Source organism: Homo sapiens, chromosome 13 (genome assembly GCF_000001405.40).
Source record: "Homo sapiens chromosome 13, GRCh38.p14 Primary Assembly".
In the NCBI taxonomy this organism is placed as follows: domain Eukaryota; kingdom Metazoa; phylum Chordata; class Mammalia; order Primates; family Hominidae; genus Homo; species Homo sapiens.
The window spans coordinates 21,521,762-21,543,591 of record NC_000013.11 but is presented as its reverse complement, the minus strand read 5'-3'; the positions used below and the strand labels follow the sequence as shown (position 1 = coordinate 21,543,591).

General features: G+C 37.0%; 1 protein-coding gene, 1 non-coding gene and 1 pseudogene across 6 annotated transcripts in view; 2 read left to right on the top strand and 1 right to left on the bottom strand.

Moving 5' to 3' along the window:
• The window catches only part of MICU2 (mitochondrial calcium uptake 2), a 111,480-nt gene that overhangs the window by 60,579 nt on the left and 29,071 nt on the right, over positions 1–21,830 (top strand). For all 5 annotated transcript variants that reach the window (NM_152726.3, XM_047430142.1, XM_017020433.2 and 2 more), the window contains 3 exons: positions 3,904–3,935; positions 4,215–4,290; positions 20,942–20,989. In NM_152726.3, coding sequence (NP_689939.1) covers positions 3,904–3,935; positions 4,215–4,290; positions 20,942–20,989 — 156 coding nt within the window. The remainder of the gene's footprint in view (positions 1–3,903; positions 3,936–4,214; positions 4,291–20,941; positions 20,990–21,830) is intronic.
• Positions 11,758–12,906, bottom strand: FNTAP2 (farnesyltransferase, CAAX box, alpha pseudogene 2; annotated as a pseudogene).
• Positions 15,692–15,792, top strand: LOC124903270 (small nucleolar RNA U13). The gene has a single exon (XR_007063969.1). It is a non-coding gene; the product is annotated as a small nucleolar RNA U13 (small nucleolar RNA).

Here is a 21,830-nt window from a genome sequence, read left to right as displayed (position 1 = left end):
TTTGTTTTGTGTGTATGTGTTTTTGTACCTATTGCAAATGGATTGCTTCTTGATTTCTTAGTTCATTGCTTGCATATAGAAAATGCTACTGATTTTTCTATGTTGATTTTATATCTGCAACTTTACTGAATTCATTTATTCTAAGAGTTTTTTGGTAGAGACTTTAGGTTTTTCTATGTATAAGATCATGTTGTCTGCAAATAGGAACAGTTTGACTTCTTCCTTTCCAATTTGGATGCCCTTTATTTTTCTTTCTCTTGCCTAATTGCTCTGACTAGGACTTCCAGTTCTATGTTGAATAAAAGGGGTGAGCATCCTTGTCTCATTTCAGTTCTTAGAAGAAAAGCTGAGAGCTTGTAGTATGATGTTAGCTGTAGCATTTACCACTTTTATTAGTGATATGAAGAAGGTTAGTTTTGCTAATGCATCATTTTCTGCCTTGGTTTCCATAATAGCTGTGACTGAATAAAAGCATGTATTAGAGTATAATCAGCTCTGTCTTAGGCTGATTCTAATATTGATGCCAAGTTGTCACATATATTTATGAAAAAGTTATGAAATAAAGAAAATGTGTCTATTGTCTAATTTTTATGTATTAGACTAGTAACCTCTACAAAATGAAATTAAGTTATGTAGTGCTGGTGTTGTTTTTGTAATTATGATTATCAAATAACTTTATTTTGGCCAGGGGCAGATTTATTGGATCTATAAGAACACTTAATGTGTATCAATGCAGCTTTACTATTTTAAGTATTAAAAGGCTCACTTACCTATAACAGGATATGCTGTATCTGGATTTTACTTCATAAATCCTCTGTAAATAGTGAAAACCACATGGTGGAATCTCTAATATGGGTGGAATCCTTTTAAAACATTTTACTTCCTGAACCAAAATTCCTAGTGCTTCAAGATCTATGCCGCCTCCTACAAAAACAAAAACCCCTAATGTGTTTTTCTTGTTTTCATATTCATACAATGAAACATTACAACCTCAATTCTAGATCTTTTTTCCTGTTTTTTGCCCCATTCTGTTATTTTCATACATAAGTGTGTGAATACATATCAAATAGCTGTGAAAATAATGAGACTGAATTTTTTATTTGTGTGAATGTGGAAATAGCCAAAGAAAGAGAGACAGGAGTGTCCCCCTACCCTACATTGAAAAAAACAAACTCAAACAAAAACAGAAGGAAAAATTAGATTATTTGCCAGATGGGTTTTATCCTTAAATAGAAAAATATTGTCCAGAAATACTTAGGTGTATTTAATATGCTCTTGCCTTGTTACTGCTGTAGGGAGAAAAAAGGTCATGGCTCCTGCTGTGCAGGTCAGACCATGGACCTCTTATTTTGCTGCTCAGCCATGAACAAGTAGTATAGAGTAAGCATCCTGGGTGAGACAACTGTCTACCAAGAAAACCCTGCCAGAGTGTTCTGGATTAGAAACACCACAACCTCTCATAATACTCAGGGAGAGGTGCATTAACTGAAGAGAAAGAGGAAGCAGGAGAGAACGGGTGTTCATTCCTAGTATCTTTGCCTTGTCTTTTTTTTTTAATCTAAAAATGAATTTTATGTAAGAGACTAGCTTCTAAACTTTTAATCAAAAAGTTAATTTCTTCATTATTTTCTAATTATTTATTCCATTTGAATTAAAAAAATTTAAAAAGATGTTTTTACAACTTAAACTGCATTAAGTATCTGGTTTTCTCCTTTTTGATGATCAAATTTTTATATACATGTCAAATAGAACTTGTAATCTACATTAAATAATGAAAAGCAGCAAAACTGCCTCTATAATCGTACCATGCATAATTATTCAGTTTTGTTAAGTGTTGAAAGTAGGCCGCAGGCTCTTTTTACTACTGTCATGGAATTCAAAGAGTCTAACACCTGTTTTTGAAAAATCTATATGAGATATGAAAATAAATCCTTCAAGGCCCATATTGTTACCTAATTCCTCTTGCCAATTTGTTTTACATGTAAAGTGGGGATATAATAATTTATCCAAAAGACAGGGACCTGGATAAGAAGACATTGTGAAATCTTTTCTGATTTGTTTATTCAGTTACTCATTCAACAAATATTTAAATGTTTAGCACTGACCTACATAAAAGTAAGACAGGTATGAAATCTGCCTCCATAGATTTTATAATTTACTTTTTACCTGTAATTCTGGTGTTATATTATTCAATCAATTCATGACTTTATTGTGGTATTTCATTCACATAGTATTGAATTTTATTGGCTTACCTGTTTGGCAGCCAGACTTCTAGCTGGAGGGAAGCAAACATTACCTTCTTTACTCACTCAGTTTCAAGTAGAAGGATTTTTTTTTTTAACAGATTTTTGAAAGACCAAAAAGGAATCTAGCCTTCAAACAGATAACACCCCTTAGAAATAATCTGATTTCTAAGAAACTCTTAGACACCATCCATTTTGCTACCTTAAATTCTTGATCCTCTTCTGCCTTCAAAATGTCAATCATTGCTTTCTAGACTACTTTAAGTTGGATGTAAGGATTAATCCGCTTTTTAAAAACAGATAAGACTAATTTTAGTTGTCTAAAAATAAAAGGGTACATGGTAATGACTATTTGTGGCGTAACTTTAGGACAAGCATAGAAATAATGATCAGTTTCTTTTTTAAGTTAATTGACTATGTAAAGATAAGTAAATACATGTATTACACAGTTTTTTGGAGTTCATTATCAGCATTATATGACTACGTATTATATACACATTCACTCACTTAGATTTGTCCAATAAATGGTAATTTTTATCTATTTGATTATCTGATACTATAACAACACCTAACAGTAGAATCTGGGGCTCTTTGTCTTTGGCTGGCACATAATAGTTTCTCCAGTGAGTAAAAATTATCCCAAAATAACAACACCTAAGCTTACAAACATAGTCATAGATGTTTCTAAAAAGTATGTAGTCATATTCACAAGTAATGTTTTGACTAATAATGTAAAAATAAAATCCTGACAGTTTACTAATACCAAATAATAGAATTTGCCCTTGTAGATTTATCGTCCAAATTAAACAACCCAAACTACAGAAAAGCCACATCTAAAAGCACTCTTTTTTAATGTGCCACCTGAATTTCTACAGACTGCGTAATTGTGCTGAAGGAACTTCATAGACAAGATAATTTTGAGAGCAATAAGTAAAGTTAGTGCTGTATATTGCTTATGTAAGAAACAAAATAAAACATTTTTCAGTTTTGTTCTGGATGTTTAAAATGATTTGAGGCTATCATCAGAGTAAGTCCTAAAAAAAAGAAACAATGTAATAGCTTTAGAATTATGGTGGATATTAGGAAAATGATGTAGGCAGTAAAGAGGGTGGCTGAAAACCTGAAAGAATTTTAAATCTCTGTTATCCAGTAGGAAATTATTAAAAATAACTACTTTAGAATGGATGGTTATGTTGGCTAGACTTTTACATTTGACTGGAGAGTTATAAGCCTAAGAGGACTTTCCAGAGTTCAAAAAAAGGAAGCTTTATAAATCATGAGTGTTTTTTTCTAAATCAATGAAAGTAAAAAGAGAGTGATTTTAATAATCATGTGAAGAAATTATGTTTGACAAGAATTAATAATATGATTCATACAACTAGGATAAATCATAGATGGTTATATACAATTTCATATGTATGAAATAGGGTGAGTGAAATTGAAAATGGATCTTGTGAAAAACTGTAGTGTCTTTGTGTTTAGTCTTAGAATTCTCTGACTCATGATTATGGCTTAAGGATATTAGCTAAAATTACAAGCCTTTGCTTTTTAAATAAATATTTAGTTGTTTGTTTTGTCTTTTAAATAATTTTCTTTCTTAGTGCAAGTTGAGTTTTACCAAAGAATATGGATACTAAATAATGTTTCTTATTTGTTGTAGGTAAAACTTCAGTCAAGAAGCTGACAAAAAAGGTAAGCATCATGTTGTGGGGGGCAGGGTTTGTTTTTGGTAAGATAGAAAATGAACTTTTGGCCGGGCACGGTGGCTCACACCTGTAATCCCAGCACTTTGGGAGGCCAAGGTGGGCGGATCACGAGGTCAGGAGATCACCATCCTGGCTAACACAGTGAAGCCCTGTGTCTACTAAAAATACAAAAAGAAATTAGCCGGCTATGGAGGTGGGCGTCTGTAGTCCCAGCTACAAAGAAAATGAACTTTTAGAAGTTTAATTTTAATATGTGTATTCAAAGGACATCGAGGATACACTGTCAGGGATCCAAACAGCTGGCTGTGGATCAACTTTTTTCAGAGACCTTGGCGATAAAGGTAATTTTGGTTTGTTGTTAAATTTCTAGTTATGTGTTTTATTTAACTGAAGTATTATTAAGGAATTAAGGTATGAGATTTGTACCATGTTATTTAATAGGTGTTTTTAAAACATGAAGTAAGGAGGTAACTTTTTCAAAGTCTTTGAGCAATTACAGATAAATTATTAAAACATCAATGTTTTAATGGATGAGGGTATGAGGCAGAGTATCTAAAATAAAAGATGAGAAGCCTTCAAGGGCATCCAGAGGAGCCACACCACTTAGGGGAGTGGACGGAAAGAGGTCATGGCAGAGTAATCAGAGAGGTAGAGGAATGCCAGGAGAGTGTTATCACAGAAGCCAAGCAGAGAAAGTGTTAAAGAAAAAGGGAACTTATCAAATGTCAAAACCAAGTAAATGTAGGGAGTTGAGTGAGCTAAGGACTGAGAAGTATCCTCTATATTTAGCAGCTGGAAGTGTTTGACATTTTAACAAGTACAGTGGTGCCTTGTTATCTATGGGGTATTGATTCCAGGACCCCCCTTGGATACCAAAATCCAAGAATGCTCAAGATCCTGATATAAAATGGCATCATATTTGCGTATAACCTACAAACATCCTCCCATTTAGTTCAAATCATCTCTAGATTACTTATAATACCTAATACAATGTAAATGCTATGTATATAGTTGTTATATTCTGTAACTCTATTTATTTGTATTGGTGTGGGTTGTTTGGGGTTTTTTTTTTTTTTTTTTGAGACAGGGTCTTGCTCTGTTGCTGGGTTGGAGTGCAGTGGCGCAGTCATAGCTCCCGGCAGCGTCAAACTCTGGGACTCAAGCAGTCCTCCTGCTGCAGCCTGCTGGGACTACAGGTGTGCACCACCATACATGGCTAATTTTTTTTAATTTTAGTATAGACGGGAGTCTCACTACATTGCTCAGGCTGGACTCAAACTCCTGGGCTCAAGCAGTCCTCCTGACTTGGCCATTGAAAGTAATGGGATTACAGGCATGAGCCACCACACCAGACCTTTTTTTTTTAATATTTTTGATACACGGTTGGTTGAATGCATGGATGCGGAGGGCCAACTGTACAGATCAGTGATAGGATGAGATCTAAAGCCAAGTTGCAGAGCACTGAGACGTGAGGGCGGATATGAGAAAAGTAAACGCAGACCTCTTGAGAGACATGGTCATGAACAGAGGAGTTAGAGGGTAGTAGCTAAGGGTAGAGAAAAAAGGCCAAGAGAATATTGGTTTATTTTAGGTGGTGAGCATGTTTCTTGTTGATGAGAAGGAGAGGTGGACAATACAAAGGAAGTATGAATAGGACAAAATCCTGGAAAATAGGAAAGAAGGGATTGTCTTCAGAACAGGAGTGGAAGGATCAGCATTCCACAGGGAGGATGTCTTTCCCACTGTATCAGGAGAAAAGGGTGAACAAATGAGCATTTTATGCAGATATTTGCAAATTACTGGCAAGCAAATGAGGGAGGTGTTTTGGAGTAGCCTTGATTTTCTTTATAAAATAGGATTTAGGGTGAGGTGCGGTGGCTCACGCCTGTAATCCCAGCACTTTGGGAGGCCATTGAGGCCGAGGCAGCCCGATCACCTGAGGTACAGAGTTTGAGACCAGCCTGGCCAACATGGGGAAACCCTGTCTCTACTAAAAACACAAAAAATTAGCCAGGCATGGTGGCGGGTGCCTGTAATCCCAGCTACTCAGGAGGCTGAGGCAGTAGAATCGCTTGAACCTGGGAGGCAGAGGTTGCAGTGAGCCGAGATCATGCCATTACACTCCAGCCTGGGCAACAAGAGTGAAACTCTGTCTCAAAAAAAAAAAAAAAAAGAAAGAAAGAAAATGTTGGATATAGTAGGTCTGAGCTTTATGGAGAAAGAAGGTTTGAAGTAGCTTCTGGGATATGGAAAAAGAACTGATGAGAGAAACAGACTTCTGGGAATCCTTCAAGGACTAGAAGAGAACATAGATTATGAAAGAATGAGTCATTGATCAGTGTAGTTGTAGATTAGAATAGTTGGACAGTTAGGATTTGCTAGGCAGAAGAATGGAGGAAGTCACGGCCTAGGGAGTTAACAGTGTTAGGAGCAAGAGAGGTTTTAACTAATGAGCCATGGAGTTTAAGCAGAGACAATAGAGAATAAAGTAAAATAGGAAGAAAAATTTAAAAAGAAAGTAGGAAAGTCAAGAGGGAAAAAAATCCCCTTTTCATGATAAACTCCAGGAATAGAAAAAAGCCTAGAGAGAAAGCTGCCAGTGAGGTTGAAAACAGATGTAGTGGATGTCCAAGAGCAGAAAACAACCATGGTCATAGAGTAGGTGTCTGAATTTACAGTTTCTAAGCTGAAGCACTTGCAGGTGATTTCAGGGTTCAGGGAGTGACCGTAGAAATAGACAGCTAAAATAGAAGTTGGCATAGTTAATTTAGTGAACCTTATCAAGGATCTGAGAGATGGACCACTCTTATTTTATAAGTGTAGAAAAAGTGTTCACCTGAGATTGGTGATAAATTAATTATTGTTTCCTGTTGTCTAAAGAAGGAATTGGAGAATTAAGAAACAAATGTAATTTCTAAATCAGTGGTTTATAACCTTTCATTGAATGCAGCAGAGCTTTTACAGTTATCTCAAGAGATTTACAACATTCTCAAATCAACATTAATTTTATGGCTGAGTGCATTAGCTCACGCTTGTAATCCCAGCACTTTGGGAGGCTGAAGCAAGAGGATAGCTTGAGCCCAGGAGTTCAAGACCAGTCTGGGCAGTATAGCAAGTCTCTATCTCTACAAATAATGTAAAAGAAAAATTAGCCAGGCGTGGTGATGCACACCTGTAGTCCCAGCTACTTGGGAGGGTGAGGTGACAGGATCGCTTGAGCTCGAGAGGTTGAGGTTGCAATTGCAGTGAGCTGTGTGTGGTCACCTGGGCAACAGAGCAAGACCGTGTCTCAAAAAAAAAAAAATTTAGTTTTAAATTGAGAATAAGTTTATCATATAACACTCCATGGAGAAGAAAAATATGACAAAGGTATAATAACTCCATAAAATCAATATTAATCAGTTATTGTTTATTGATAAATATCTATTTCTGTACATTCTGTATCAATATTTAGTGGACTTTCATTATATTCTGTGAGTATTAGTTCCTTATACTAAACTGTCTACTTATCTTTATACCCACTTCACCCCACCCTTTACCAATTCCTTCCAGTCATAGCACCAGAACATCCCTATAGACTTTGAGGTTAACAAGCTCCTAAATTTTTTATAGTGGGAATTTACTGGAATGTAGTATATGGTTAGTGAACAAAAGTGTGTGTTTTGAAGTTGACAGACTTAAATTCAAATTTTTCCTAGTTTTATGACCCGGGGAAATTACTTAATCTCTTTCATCCTCACTTTCATCACCTTTTAAAATAAGATAGTAATGCCTTCCTTATGGGATTGTTGAAAGAATTTAATAAAATAAGATATTTTAAACATTTATAGTATCTGGTATGTAGCCTTAAAAAATATTAAGAACATGGGTTTTAAGCCTGGTTTAGATTCCTAGCTCTATTAGCTGTGTAACCTTGGGCAAGTTGGTTTTAGTTTTCTTGCTGTGTGTCTGGTACATTTTAAGTTTATAATTGGTAATATTGCTATATTTTTTTGTAAGATTTAATATTAACTGAGCCTTAGCCTCTTAATGAGTTTGTAAATAAATGGTATTTTTAAAATCATAGTTAATAAATATTTTGTAAGGTTTTACTTTAGGAAATTACTAATTTGGCATTTTAAAGTAGATTTTAAGCAAGATGTTTAAATTTCAAGTACCAATATTTAGATCAGAGCTATGGCTTTGAGGTACCTTTCCATAATATAGACTTTTCTGGAAGCATTTTGAGACTCTTAAGAAAGATATTTACCAGTTGTGAAAACTCAGATAATCTCTGTGGATATAAACTGAGTTATCTTATGATTATTTGATGTTTTTTTCCTGAAGTAAGGAAGGCTGGGGAGGGTTCTATAATAATTTTGATCTAAAGGCAGAATATGAGAGCCAGAGTAGATTAATTCAGCTTTTGTGTAAAACTCTACATAAATATAATGTGATTTTAGAAATTCTATTAAAAAGTGTTTTCAAGAAAAATGAGTAAAATAAAAACTGAAGAGAGAAAATTTAAATCATCTTAAGGAAAAAAAAATTGAGAGATAAGAGATTAATCTTCAAAAACTGAAAAGACAACCCCATTTCAAAACCTTAGAAGCATACCGTGCTTCTGAAAAGAAGTACCTGTACAGCTTCATTGCTGCATTCACAGTCCAGACTCCTGGTAGTGCCTCAAGTGCTGCCTATGACCTTTATATGGAATTACCATACTCCTGCTCCCTGCTAAACAGCTTCCACTTCTCAGCTACCCTACTCTATGAAGTCATCTGTGAAACCAATAAACAGTCTTATGCTTTCTCATTTTTTGTATTTTGTTACACTGTACTCTCTGATTTCTAATCTTTCTTAATTAAGCCATAATCTCAAAGTGGAAAAATATATGTGGTTATTTTTATATCCCCAGTTGCTTGGTATGTTGCCTAAAAACATTCTCTGACACATAATAGATGCTCATCTAAAATTAACTACATGCTAATTACAAATTATCCTGATCTATTTCAGTGAATCCCTTGAGTATTTTTGCTATGCACTTTTAGCCTTTCTGTGTATTGAAAGTATGAAGACTACGTGTTTTTTTAAATATTTCCCAGTTAAAACTTTCAATAATTTATGTTGGTCTTCTTCCCAGTTAGTATTAATTGGGGCCAGGCATAGTGGCTGATGCCTGTAACCCCAGCACTTTGGGAGGCCAAGGCAGAAGGATCACTTGAGCCCAGGAGTTCAAGACCAACCTAGGCAACATAGGGAGACCCCCATCTCCACAAAAAATAAAAAAATTAGCTGCACATGGTGGCTCACGCCTGTAATACCCTCTATTTGGGAGGCTGAGGTGGGAGAGAATCACTTGATCCTAAGAAGCTGGCTTCAGTGAGCCACGATTGTACCGCTATACTCCAGCCTGGGCAATAGAGTGAGACCTTGTCTTAAAAAAAAAAAGGAAAGGAAAAGGAAATATTTAAAAATTTAAAAAGGATTACTTGGTATTATTTTGTCAGCAAAATTAGATCCATTTTGTAGTAATGCTTTCATACATTTTAGAAATAATGCATCAACTCTTTTTTTTTTTTTTTAGACAGTCTCACGCCCAGACTAGAGCGCAGTGGCGTGATCTTGGCTCACTGCAACCTCCACCTCCCGGGTTCAAGTGATTTTCGTGCCTCAGCCTCCTCTTTATCAGATATCTGAATAAAAACATGAAATTATCCTCTAATTTTTATCTCCTCTTTATCAAAATATTTGACTTTGATGTGAATTATTTCTAAGATATACTAGAAGAAAGTTCTGCCTCCTAATGAGCAATGTTTTATCAGCTTAATAGTTAATGACCTGCAACTGTAGTAGGATATTTTTTCTTTTCCCTAGCTATTTTTTTAAATTAGGGCTATTCGATGTATTACCATATTTAATGTGGTATACAGTTATTTCAAAGTGTATTAGTCACAAAATGCAGTCACTTAATTGAAGAAGAAAAATCTGATTCTGGCAGTATTAAACACAAATAGAATTTTTAAAAATTGCACTGCCTTGTCCGGGCGCAGTGGCTCACGCTTGTAATCCCAGCACTTTGGGAGGCTGAGGCGGGCGGATCACGAGGTCAGGGGATCGAGACCATCCTGGCTAACACGGTGAAACCCCGTCTCTACTAAAAATACAAAAAATCAGCCGGGCGCAGTGGCCGGCACCTGTATTCCCAGCTACTCGGGAGGCTGAGGCAGGGGAATGGCGTGAACCCGGGGGGCAGAGCTTGCAGTGAGCCGAGATTGCGCCACTGCACTCCAGCCTGGGAGACAGAGCAAGACTCTGCCTCAAAAAAAAAAAAAAAAATTGCGCTGCCTTACTATTGATTACAAAAATATATATATAAAATCATTCTATACTCAGAATCATAAAGATAATTATTAAAATTAGTTGGATTCATTATGAAGTATATCCTATACACCGTGGAATTTAATAAACTTTTTAAGGCATTTTTTCTTTACCTAAAGAAAGAAAGAACTCACCTCCAAATCTGCTGTTGCATCTGCATCTTACAGCTGCATCCATCTTGTCTGTCTTTGCTATCTTTATAGATCTATTCTGTACAACATAAGCCCATGTCTCTGTATTTGCTCTAGGCCTCTTTTCTTTCCCTTTCAAGACTTTTCTACTTTGATATTTTTCCCTATTTTACCCCATCACCAGTTTGTTTCTCTCTACCTTATTCCTACCTTATGTAAACTTAAAAGTATGTCCCATTTTTTAGAGTAAAAAATTTTTCCTTTACCCCCATATTCCCTGGTGTGTTGTGTTCACTTCCTCACCTCTCATTCATTCATTCAGCTCATTTCAGCCTGGTACCCACTCCACCGTGGACACTGTTTTGTCATGATCACCAGTGACCTCCTTGTTACCAATTCAATGAGGACATTTTGTAGTCTCAGCTTATGTGACCTCGGCAGTATTTGATATATTATCTACATCAGAACAGCCCCTTGTTTTGGCTTCTATGACCCCATACTTTGTTGTATTGCTTTTCTCACCATCCTAGTTGTTTCTTCTCTGTCTCTTTTGATGAAATTCAACAAGAACCACCTAAGCTGGGGAAGCAAACAATTAGATCATTCTAGTGGGGTGAGTTTGAAGGAAGGGGCTCACTAGTCAGTCCTGAAAGAGCACTGAGAAATTCTCTATCTCGTGAGAGATAATGAAGATATGAATGAGATTTAACAAACTTTGGAGAAAATTGGGAGAGTACTTGGCAAATGACAAGTAAAATGTTTTTCTTTTTATTGACAAGTAATATTTTTGAGGCATAAGTATGAAAAGAGTTGGAATTTCAAAGAGCAGTAAGCAAACATTTTATTTTCTTGGTATGAAGATAGCAAATGGTAGTGGAGATTATATGAAATGGGTTAATGGAAGTTTTGAACGTAAAGAGATTTGAAGACAAGGTAGAAAGTTATTGCAGTTTAATTAGTTTTGACTCTTCAGATAGAAGAAAAATCTGTAGATGTTCTTTAGTTTCTTCTTGAAATTGAGATCAGTGTTCTCTTCATTCGCCCTCTACGTATAGGGGCAAGATTTGTGGAGCAGCTTTTCATATTGGCAGAGGAAGACTTGGGAGGGGTGTTCATACCTCCTGCTAGTCTGCATCAGAGAATCCTGTTAGATTGTTGTCACATCCAGAAGTCAGGATTCTGGTCTCCAGAAGGATTGTAGTATTTCTTTACCAGCTTTGCTGCCTCTGTGCCATAAGGGAGAAAAAATAGGTACTTGTTTTTAGAGGATACTGAGAAAGAATATCGGTAACTTCTTTTTTTGTTCGTTTGTTTTTGTTTTTAGATACAGCTATGCTTTTATTACAAAACCGTTTTTTTGGCATTAGTTGGCTACAGTGATAGCAAGATAACGTGAGTGTGCAGACCAGCTCTGATGGAACCACTGTATTGTATTCCCTGCTTACTGAACCAAACTTCAGCTACCTCATATCCATTACATACAAATGACCTGCAGTTATTACTTCTACAAATCTTGACGCGTGTACTACTGAAGGAAGAGTTGATGCTAAGGGATTTGATTACATGTTGATAAGACTACAAAAGTTCCTTTATGGGACTTTTTCTTCCTCCTCCCATCCAGTGACTTTGCTTTAGAAGAATCCCATTACTTACAGCTAGTCTGAGTAGCAGCAGCACCCAAGGAGCATCAGTTCTTGTTAAAAAGCAATACCTGTGTGATGCACTTTGACACCACAGGCAAAGGGAAGGACCACTCTCGTTTTAAACTCCTGCAGGGTCCCTTAATAAAAAATAAAAGCATTCCATCAAGTTTTTCGGGTTGGTGTTATTGCTGTACATTTGTTGGTGAGTCATTTTCTGTGCTGTGTTTGCTTTGAAGGGATCTTCCAATCTATCTCCAATATTCCTTTCTTATAGTGTCCTTTTCTTGAGCTAGGATCTCACATAACTCTAATGCTTTATTAAGAATGTCTTCCTTTTTGTCACAGTGGTTTTCTAGCATGTCTTCATAGATAACCACAAGAAAGGCAATTAGGTAGGGGGAACTATGCCTTGGTTGTAAATCAAGTAATTGACTTAACAGATTAGGATATTTGGAAAGACCACGATCCTGCAAAATCCCTTTCAAATAGTTGCAGGCACTTTCATTATGTGGTACTAGTTTAATCATTTCCAGAGTGTATATTTGTCACTGTAAATGATCTGGACCACAGGATTGGGGCCAACATTCTGCAGCACTAGATCTATATCAGCCCATTCTGCTCTGTCGCTGTACAGGACGTAGGAGGGTGAGTCCAGGCTCAGAAACCCGTCGTCCATGGGGGCACCACGGCTTGCCTGGCCTCGGCCGCCATCTCTTCCTGGTGCTGCTGCTGGGGCGGTGGTGGGTATGGCTGGGGTGGGGGCTGCTCTGGCTGTCTGGGCTCGCCACCTTGTGCAGCCTCCCCGACCCCCTCAGTGGCCACCCCAGTAACTTATTTTTATTTTTATTTTTTTAACTTTCAGAGAGAGAGACATAGTAGATAATCTTTCTAACTATCAAGGAGATAAATTCATCAGCCTGCACACACATTTTCCTCATTAGATAGTTTTCTTTCTTTGTTATTTACATAGATGGAGGACTGTTTATGTTCTCAGAATGAACAACAGCATTAATCATATATTTCCAGGATTTTTTTTTTTTGAAGGAGAATTAAGACCCAGTATTTCGGATGATTGGGAGAAAGACCTTAGTGATGAACTATTAGAAAAATAGGATTTTCCCCCCTTAGGCAAAGTCTATGAGGATATTCATACGAGAAATAGAGGAATGAGCATGATGAGAGGGGAAGGGGTGAGGGAAGGAGGCTTTAAAAGGAACCAGAAACAGTAAATGGCTGTAAGGATAGAGAATATACATAGCATTCATTACAGAGTCAAAGATAAATTTTTAAAATGCACATGCAGTGGCTGTGGGAGGAAAATCAACTTACATTCCTACATTCATAAAGGACTGGCAGGGAAATCAGGACTGTAAGATGTAACTTAAGGATGACAAGAAAATTAAGCAATTGGCAGGTAAAAGATGAGGCAGAACTGGAGAGTTACAGAATTGGGAAGCGTTAGAAGTATCATGAAAGGGCAAGGTGTAAGATCTGCTCTCTCACCATTCATCCAAATGCTGGCCACCCTTAACTTAGACTTTTCTATACTTAGACTTCTCTGTACTTTTATCCCACGCTGATTGGGGTCTCAACCCTGATCCTTCCCCTTCTCCATCCCTCCAACACATCTACTGTACCACATTCTAGCTGGAAGAAGAGTGTCCCTAATTGTGAGAAGCCTTCACAGGCTGAATATATAGAGTCTCCCAGCTCCTGTGTAGCTTGTGGTTTATGAGCTGCTTTAAAGCCTACTTCATCTGTAAAATAGAGATGATAATATCTACTTCAAGGTTACAGTGACTTACATGAAACTTCTGACACAGTGCCTGAGATCATGTCAACGAAAGATCTGTTAATTAGGCAAATGTTTGTGTCACAAGTCCTCTTGATTTCTCTGAAACCACACTGTCCTAGTCTCTCTCTGTCATTGGCCCTCTTCCACCTCCTGCCTATTAAACATTGGCACTTCATAGAATTTTGTCCTTCACTTACTACTCTTCTTCAGCCTCCTTGGTTTTAGCATTCATGAGATGACTCCCAAATCTCTTTCAGTGCTTCCAGCCCAGGCTACACTCCTGAGCCTCAGCCATCTGTGTATTTACAAACTAGCTGCCAGACACCTGGTTTTGGATCTCTCTCAGTTACCTTGGATTCAGAATATGCCAAACTGCACTCATCGTCTTCCCCCTAAACCAACACTTCCTGTATTCTTGATCTCATTTGGTAGTAAAAGCTTTCATCTAACTCACCCAAACCCAAGAAATATCTTAGAACCCTTTCTCTCTCTCTTTGCCCCTCCCACCCTTCATATTCAATCAAACACAAAGTCTTTCCAATTTTACCTAAGTATTTATCGAATTCATCTTCTCTTCTCCCTACCTCTAGAGAATAGGAAACAGATCAAGTAACTTTGTCACTTAATAAATAAAATCTAACTTCCTTAGTTTGGTGTATATAAGCCCTTTGTGTCCTGTGCCCTGCATAAGCTTCCCTGCTGTCCTCTCTTGCCATTCTGCACAGTGTGCCACGTCTTTTTACGCTTTCATACTTTTGCACACGCTCTTCCCTTTGCCTGTGCCATTCTCTCTCTCCCTCTACTCTCTGACTCACCACCTTCTCCCAGCCTTCTGTTCATTGGAGAATTAACGCAAGCTTCACTTCTTCTGGGAATTGTTTTTAACTTCTTCAGTAGAAAGAATTGTTCCCTCCCCTGCATTCTCATCATTCTTTATATATTCTTTCTCACCACGTTTTATTATAATTGCTGGTTTATGTGTCATCTGCTAACTTCTTAGAATATAAATTCCTTGAGGGAAAAGGCCCTTTTCTTTGTAAACTTGTGAGGTCTAAGCGCAATGGCTAGCATGTGGTATATGCTTAATAAATTGTTTTTGACTGAACAAACAGAGAACAGTAGAATTGTTTATTAAATTGTGAGGAAGCCCAATACAGTGGAAGGGCTGAGACTCTTGTATATCTTGTCTGTAATGTTGATTGTGATCTGATAGTATAGGAAAAAAGTGCTTACAAGTGCAATAGGGAAACATCTTGAGGAAAGACAACAGTTACTTTTTAGTTCCCTGAAATACATGAGTTGACATGTACATTTCCAACTTAAAGAAAAAAACACTAAATGTTTATTTTATAAAAGATTCAGAAGATACACTTTTTAAAGATATACTTTACTGTTGCTGTTAATAGTGATTTGAAGAAAAACAATGTAAAACTTAGTTATACTTGGGACCCTTTGAAATATTCCATCTTACCACATATAAGAACTATCAAAATTTATACTCTATCGTAACTAGCAAAAGGTAGTACATTCCTAAAATAAGAAAATAATTTACCAACACGTATTATTATAAGGAAGAAGAAGTTGTAGTTTACTATATATATATTTTTTAAACTGAGCATAATTTTAATACCATCCTCAAAAATATACTGAATATAAATTATGAGATATGTTGTAAGATATAAATATATTCTTGCAATAGGTGGGATAATCCAATCTCTTTGGAAAACAGGATTCACAAAATTGTACTTAACAGCGGTCATATTTTAGAATGGTTCCATCTTAATATTTCTAGATAAGCATTGTAACTGACAGAATTTATTCATCTTAAGTGTGATGACTGGGTTTTCACATTGATGAGTGAGATGCGCCTCCCTCAAACCTTGTTTACAAGGACAACATATTGGTTGTCTGACGTGAGGAGAGGAAAAAGTCAGAACTTACTCGTTTCTCCTAGTGTCCCTCTTAAGAGATTCTTTAACAAACTTTTAAACATAAATTATTTAAAATACTGTCCTAATGCAGTTTTGAATCATTGCCATTTAACAGCATTTACTTTACAATTAGATATAACAAATATATATTAAGCTGTTTCTCCTGTCAATATTCTCGTGTGTCAGTTTTCTTTAAAAACATTTTCAGAGGGCAAATGCCTAGAATGCTGTTGTAGAACTACCTTGTTTATTTGTAACCCACCTTGAGAGTGAAAGGTACTGTTTTTATACTGTCTCAACTCTGTGATTATTCAAGCTTTTTATTTAAGTCAGTATTTCAAAGAAAGACCCTGGAATTTTCTTTTTCAAAAAGTTCTGCTTGCATAAAGGACCTGTACCTGTGTCTAAAGAGAAGAAAAGCAAGGCCTCCTTCTGGCATCAAGCCCAGTGGAGTCTAGAGGTTTGGCCATTTTTTTCACATTGCCGTATTCCTTTGAAAATGAGAAAAATTCTTAAGGCTGCCGAAGAATGAAATACTTTGATCTTTCAGCTAACATTAGAGCACTTCTCTCAGGTACAAGATATGACAAAACACATTTAATTTATTCTCCCTTTATAGAAGGACTAAATAGTTTAAAGCAAAAGAAAATCTGAAAACGTACTATAGTCTTTTTGTTAAAGAAAAGTACACCTGCTCCAAAATAGAAACAACAAAAAGTTGGTAATTCAAAAAAAGGAAGCCATTGAAAACATTTAAAATATTTACTTATAGTTAAAACATGGAATCATCTAATAATACCATGTTTGCTTTCCTTGCTCTGAACTACCTTTGGCCCTGACTCCCTCCTTTATTTGCTTGGGAGTCATTAGGGTATGTTGTCCTGCACAGAAGGGTAAATACATTCCCACCGTCATCACCCTCTGCAGCTCTTTATTCTTCCTGTCCGAACTACCATAGTAGTTTTTTTTTTTCCCATTGCTGCTTCCACATGAGCATTATTTCAGACAATCACTTTGCAGTTTTCATATTCAGCTTCATCTGTCTTAAATAGCTTTCCCATTTATACCACATCCGCTTAATTAAAATTTTTACCAATCATTCAAAGTTTACTGTTAGAATTACCTCCTCTGTGACATCTTTGATCATCTAAACTCCGTAAATGCCTGCACATTTTTCTAAACTTTTGTAACTCTTACTATTCGTATCTCTCTATGGTATCTAGTATTTTCTGTAAACATCTGCATTTTGGCCTCCTAATGGAAGTATACAATGCCATCTGTGAAGAATTCTTGTCAAAATCAAACCTGAATCTTAGCACACATCTGGATTTAAGTACCATTTGTAGAAAATACAGAAGGTAGAGGAACATGTGAAATGATACCAAGGACATACAGTCATCAGAATTTTATAGACTATTAGAAATTTTATGGGACCAATGACCACCTTTTTCAACAATTAAATTGAAAGGTAGGGGCAAAAAAGACAAGGGAGAAAACGTATATATTAAGAGAGACATAAGAGACAGGAAAGCTGGGCACAGTGGCTCACACCTGCAGTCCTAGCACTTTGGGAGGCTGAGGCAGGAGCATCACTTGAGCCCAGGAATTCAAGACCAGCCAGGGCAACATAGGAAGACCCTGTCTCTCCAAAAAAAAAAAAAAAAAAAAAGTATTTTAATTAGCTAGACATGGTGGCACATGCCTGTGGTCCCAGCTACTCAGGAGGCTGAGAGGTGGGGAGGATCGCTTGAACCTGGGAGGTCAAGGCTGCAGTGAACCACTACTGTGCCACTGTACTCCAGCCCGGGAAACAGAGTGAGACCTTGTTAAAAAATAAATAAATAAATAAATAAATAAATAAATAAATAAGACTACATCACAATTAAGAACATTTGTGAATCAAAGAACACTGTCAAGAGAGTGAAGAAAAGACCCACAAATGGGAGAAAATATTTTCAAATCGTATATATTCATATATATAATAAGGGATAATAACCAGAATATGTAAAGAACTATACAAAACTTTTCTTAATGGGAAAAGGACTCAAGTAGAAATTTCTCAAAATAAGATATACACATGAAAAGCACATGAAAAGGTACTCAACGTCACTAATCATCAGGGAAATGCAAATCAAAACCGCAATGAGATACCACGTGACATTCATTAGGTTGGCAGTTAAAAAAAAAAAGAAAATACAAGCGTTGAGGATGTGGAGAAATTTGGTGGGAATTTGTATTTCCACAGCTGCTGTGGAAAAGGTAGGGCGATTCCTCAAAAATTAAATCAGCATTGGCCAGGCGCGGTGGCTCACGCCTGTAGTCCCAGCACTTTGGGAGGCCGAGGCAGGCAGATCACGAGGTCAGGAGATCGAGATCATCCTGGCTAACATGGTGAAACCTGTCTCTACTAAAAATACAAAAAATTAACCGGGCGTGGTGGTGGGCGCCTGTAGTCCCAGCTACTCAGGAGGCTGAGGCAGGAGAATGGCGTGAACCTGGGAGGCGGAGCTTGCAGTGAGCCGAGATCGCACCACTGCACTCCAGCCTGGGCGACAGAGCAAGACTCCATCTCAAAAAAAAAAAAAAAAAAAAAAAAAAAAATTGAATTACACAGCATTACTGTATGATGCAGCAGTTCTGCTTCTGGGTATATACCCAAAAGAAATGAAAGCAGGGGCTTAGATAAATATTTGTACACCAATATTTGTAGCTGCATTATTCACAGTAACCACATGGTAGAAACACCCCAAATGTCCATCAGCAGGTGAGTGGATAAACAAAATGTGGTACATAGGTACAATGGAATATTATTCAGCCTTAAAAAGGAAGGATATGCTGACATATGCTGCAGTATGAATGAACCTTTAAAACATTATGCCAAGTGAAATAAGCAAGTCACAAAAGGACAAATATCGTATGATTCATCTTAGGTACCTAGATAGAATAGGCAACGTCACAGAGACAGAAAGCGGAATAGAGGTTGCAGGGGCCAGAGGCAGGAATGGGTGGTGGGATTCAGGAGTTAACATTTAATGTGTACAGTGTTTCTGTTTAGCATGATGAAAAATTTCTAATGACGGTTGTACAACAGCGTGAATGTACTTAATGCTACCAAACTTAAAAATGGTTTAAATGGTAAATTGTATGTTATGTTTATTTTACCACAATATTTAAAAACAGGTGATTTAAGAGACCTACTCACCAAGTGCAATGTAAGGACTTTTCTTTGGATGCTCATTTGAACACACTTGAAAACTTGTCTAAAACAGGAAAATTGATAATGCTGATTTGAATTTGAAGATGTTAAGGAATTATTGATACTTTTTTAGGTGTGGTAACTATCTGGCAGGGAGGTTTTTTTTAGATATACAGGCTGAATTTTTTACTATGAAATGATATGTATATGTGGGTTTTGTTTCAAAATAATCCAGTGGGAGGTAGGGAGTGAAAAGGAATATAGATAAAGCAAGACCTGCCATGAATTGATAATTATTGGTGCTGAGTTTCATTGTGTTATTTAATATAATTATATATAATTATTCATCATATTATTCTCTCTGTTGTTGCATATGATTGAAGTTTTCCATGATTAAAAAAGTGTTTTTAATTGTTAATTGTGCATTTTGCTATTATACCAATCTTTTGATCCGGAGGGAACAATTGTTTTTTAGCATATCAGGAAGCCATGGTTTTTGAGATATCGTTTCTGTGTAAGCAGCCTAAAACCTGACACAATGTACTTGAGCAAGCAAGAAAGTTTAGTGACTAGACAGAGTTAGCTTCAAACCCAACTTCATCCAGGGCTCAAACATCACCATATTCATTTTCCAGATCTGGCAATTAAAGATTGGCTACATTCTCGTGCTCTAAATACTGGCTTCTGGCAGTTCCAGGCACTCTCTCCATTGCCTCACATTCCTGAGAATAACATTCTCACATCACCAAAGCCCAGCACAAAATAAAAATGTGAAAGTCAGTGATCCAGCATTTGCATCAGAAATCCTGCTGTACTACTCATGAGTGGCCCAACTTAGGTGTTAGCCCATCCCTGAACCAGTCCCTGGAGCCAGACTAGTGCAACCTCCTTATTAGCTTGGGCCTGAGCTACTTGCCCATCCCTGCATCAGTTCCACAGAAATGCAGTGATTGGCTTCAGCCAATTAGCATTTACTTGCAGAGGCAAAGGTAGGGTCATCCTACCCAAACTGCATATTTGAGACTGACAAAGAATGATTTCCCAAAGGAAAAATCAAGTTACTGCTACAAAGAACTAATTACTACGTTTTAAATAGTGTAATTTGACTCTCAGTATATCCCAAGTCTCTTGTTATTCTACTGAATTTATAAATTTGCTTCACTTGAGATGTTATGCATAGTAAAACTTTAAGTAGAAGTAACTAAAGTGCCATGTAAATAAAACTTGTAGTGGATGCCTGTTATTTGCGAGCCAGCTTCGATTCTTCTGTATTAGTCAGTGTTCTCCAGAGAAACAGAACCAATAGGAGATTTAGATAGAGGTTGGCTGTGAAGAATTGGCTCATGCAATTATGGAGGTACAGAAGTCCCATGATCTGCCATCTGCAAGCTGTAGACCCAGAAAAGCTGATGGTGTAATTCAGTCCACATTTGGAGGCCTGAGAACCAGGGGAGTCAATGGTGTAAACCCATCTGAGGGTAGAAGATAAGATGTTCCAGCTCAAGAAGTGAGGCAGAAAAAAAGGGTGAATTTCTCCTTCCTCTGCTTTTTGTTCAACAGAGTGGATAATGCCCACCCACACTGCGGAGAACAGCCTGCTTTACCGAGTCTACCAATGTAAATGCTAATCTCACAGACACACCCAGAAATGATGTTTAATCTGGACACTCAAGATGTTCAGTCTGTGACACAGTCAAACTGACACTTAAAACCAACCATCACAACTTCCTTACTAGTAACAGTACCTGATGAAACATAGTTTCTTTTTTTAAGTATTAGGCCTCTACTTCAACTATTATAAAAATTTTCCACTGTATCAAAGAGAGGTAATTTAAAGTAAAATTGTTTTTTAATTAGGTGAAATTTCAATGTTAATGTCTCTATATATTCTAAACCATCTAAAGCTTATTTTCTGGTATGTTTTTATCTCTTTCAGGGCTAATTTCATATACCGAGTATCTTTTCTTGCTTACAATCCTCACTAGTAAGTATCCCACAGTTTTTCTCAGAGATCATGTGGAATTCTCTGTTCTTACCAAACAGGATTTTAAAAGTTTGGCATTTATGTCTTTATCATTAAAAACATTATTGATGCCTTAGTTTCTATATCTGCAAAATGATAATGTTGGATTAGGTTATCTCTTTGGGTCACTTCTGCCTCCTGTGCACTATAGCAGCCCATAGCTTTGTCTCTTTAATAGGAAGTTTGTTGAACTAGAGAATCATAGTGGTAGTCTAGGCTTTAAAAATGCTTATCTGACATTATACAAAATTCCTGACCAGTACTCTTCAAAGTGTGAAGGTCATGGAAAACAAGAAAAGACTGAGACACTGATACAGATTAGAGAAGACTCAGGAGACATGACAGCTAAATACAACATGGTATCTTATATTTAATCCTAGAATAGGAAAACAGCATTAGTGAAAAAACATAAAACCCAGATTAAGTCGATAGTGTAGTTCATAATGCTGTGCCATGTTAATTTCTTAGTCTTTATAAATGTACTGTGGTTATGTAAGATGTTAACATTAGAGGAAGACCAGGTGTGGGGGCTCACCCCAGCACTTTAGCTTGAGCCCAGGAGTTTGAGACCAGCTTGGGCAACATGGTAAAACCCCATCTCTACAAAAAAAATTAAAAATTTGCGAGGTGTGGTGGTGCACACCTGTAGTCGCAACTACTTGTCGAGGCTGAGGTAGGAGGATTGCTTGAGCCCAGGAGGTTGAGGCTGCAGTGAGCTGTGATCACGGTACTGCACTCCAGCCTGGGTGACAGGTGAGACCCTGTCTCGGAAGAAAAGAAAAATTAGAGGACTCTGTGGACT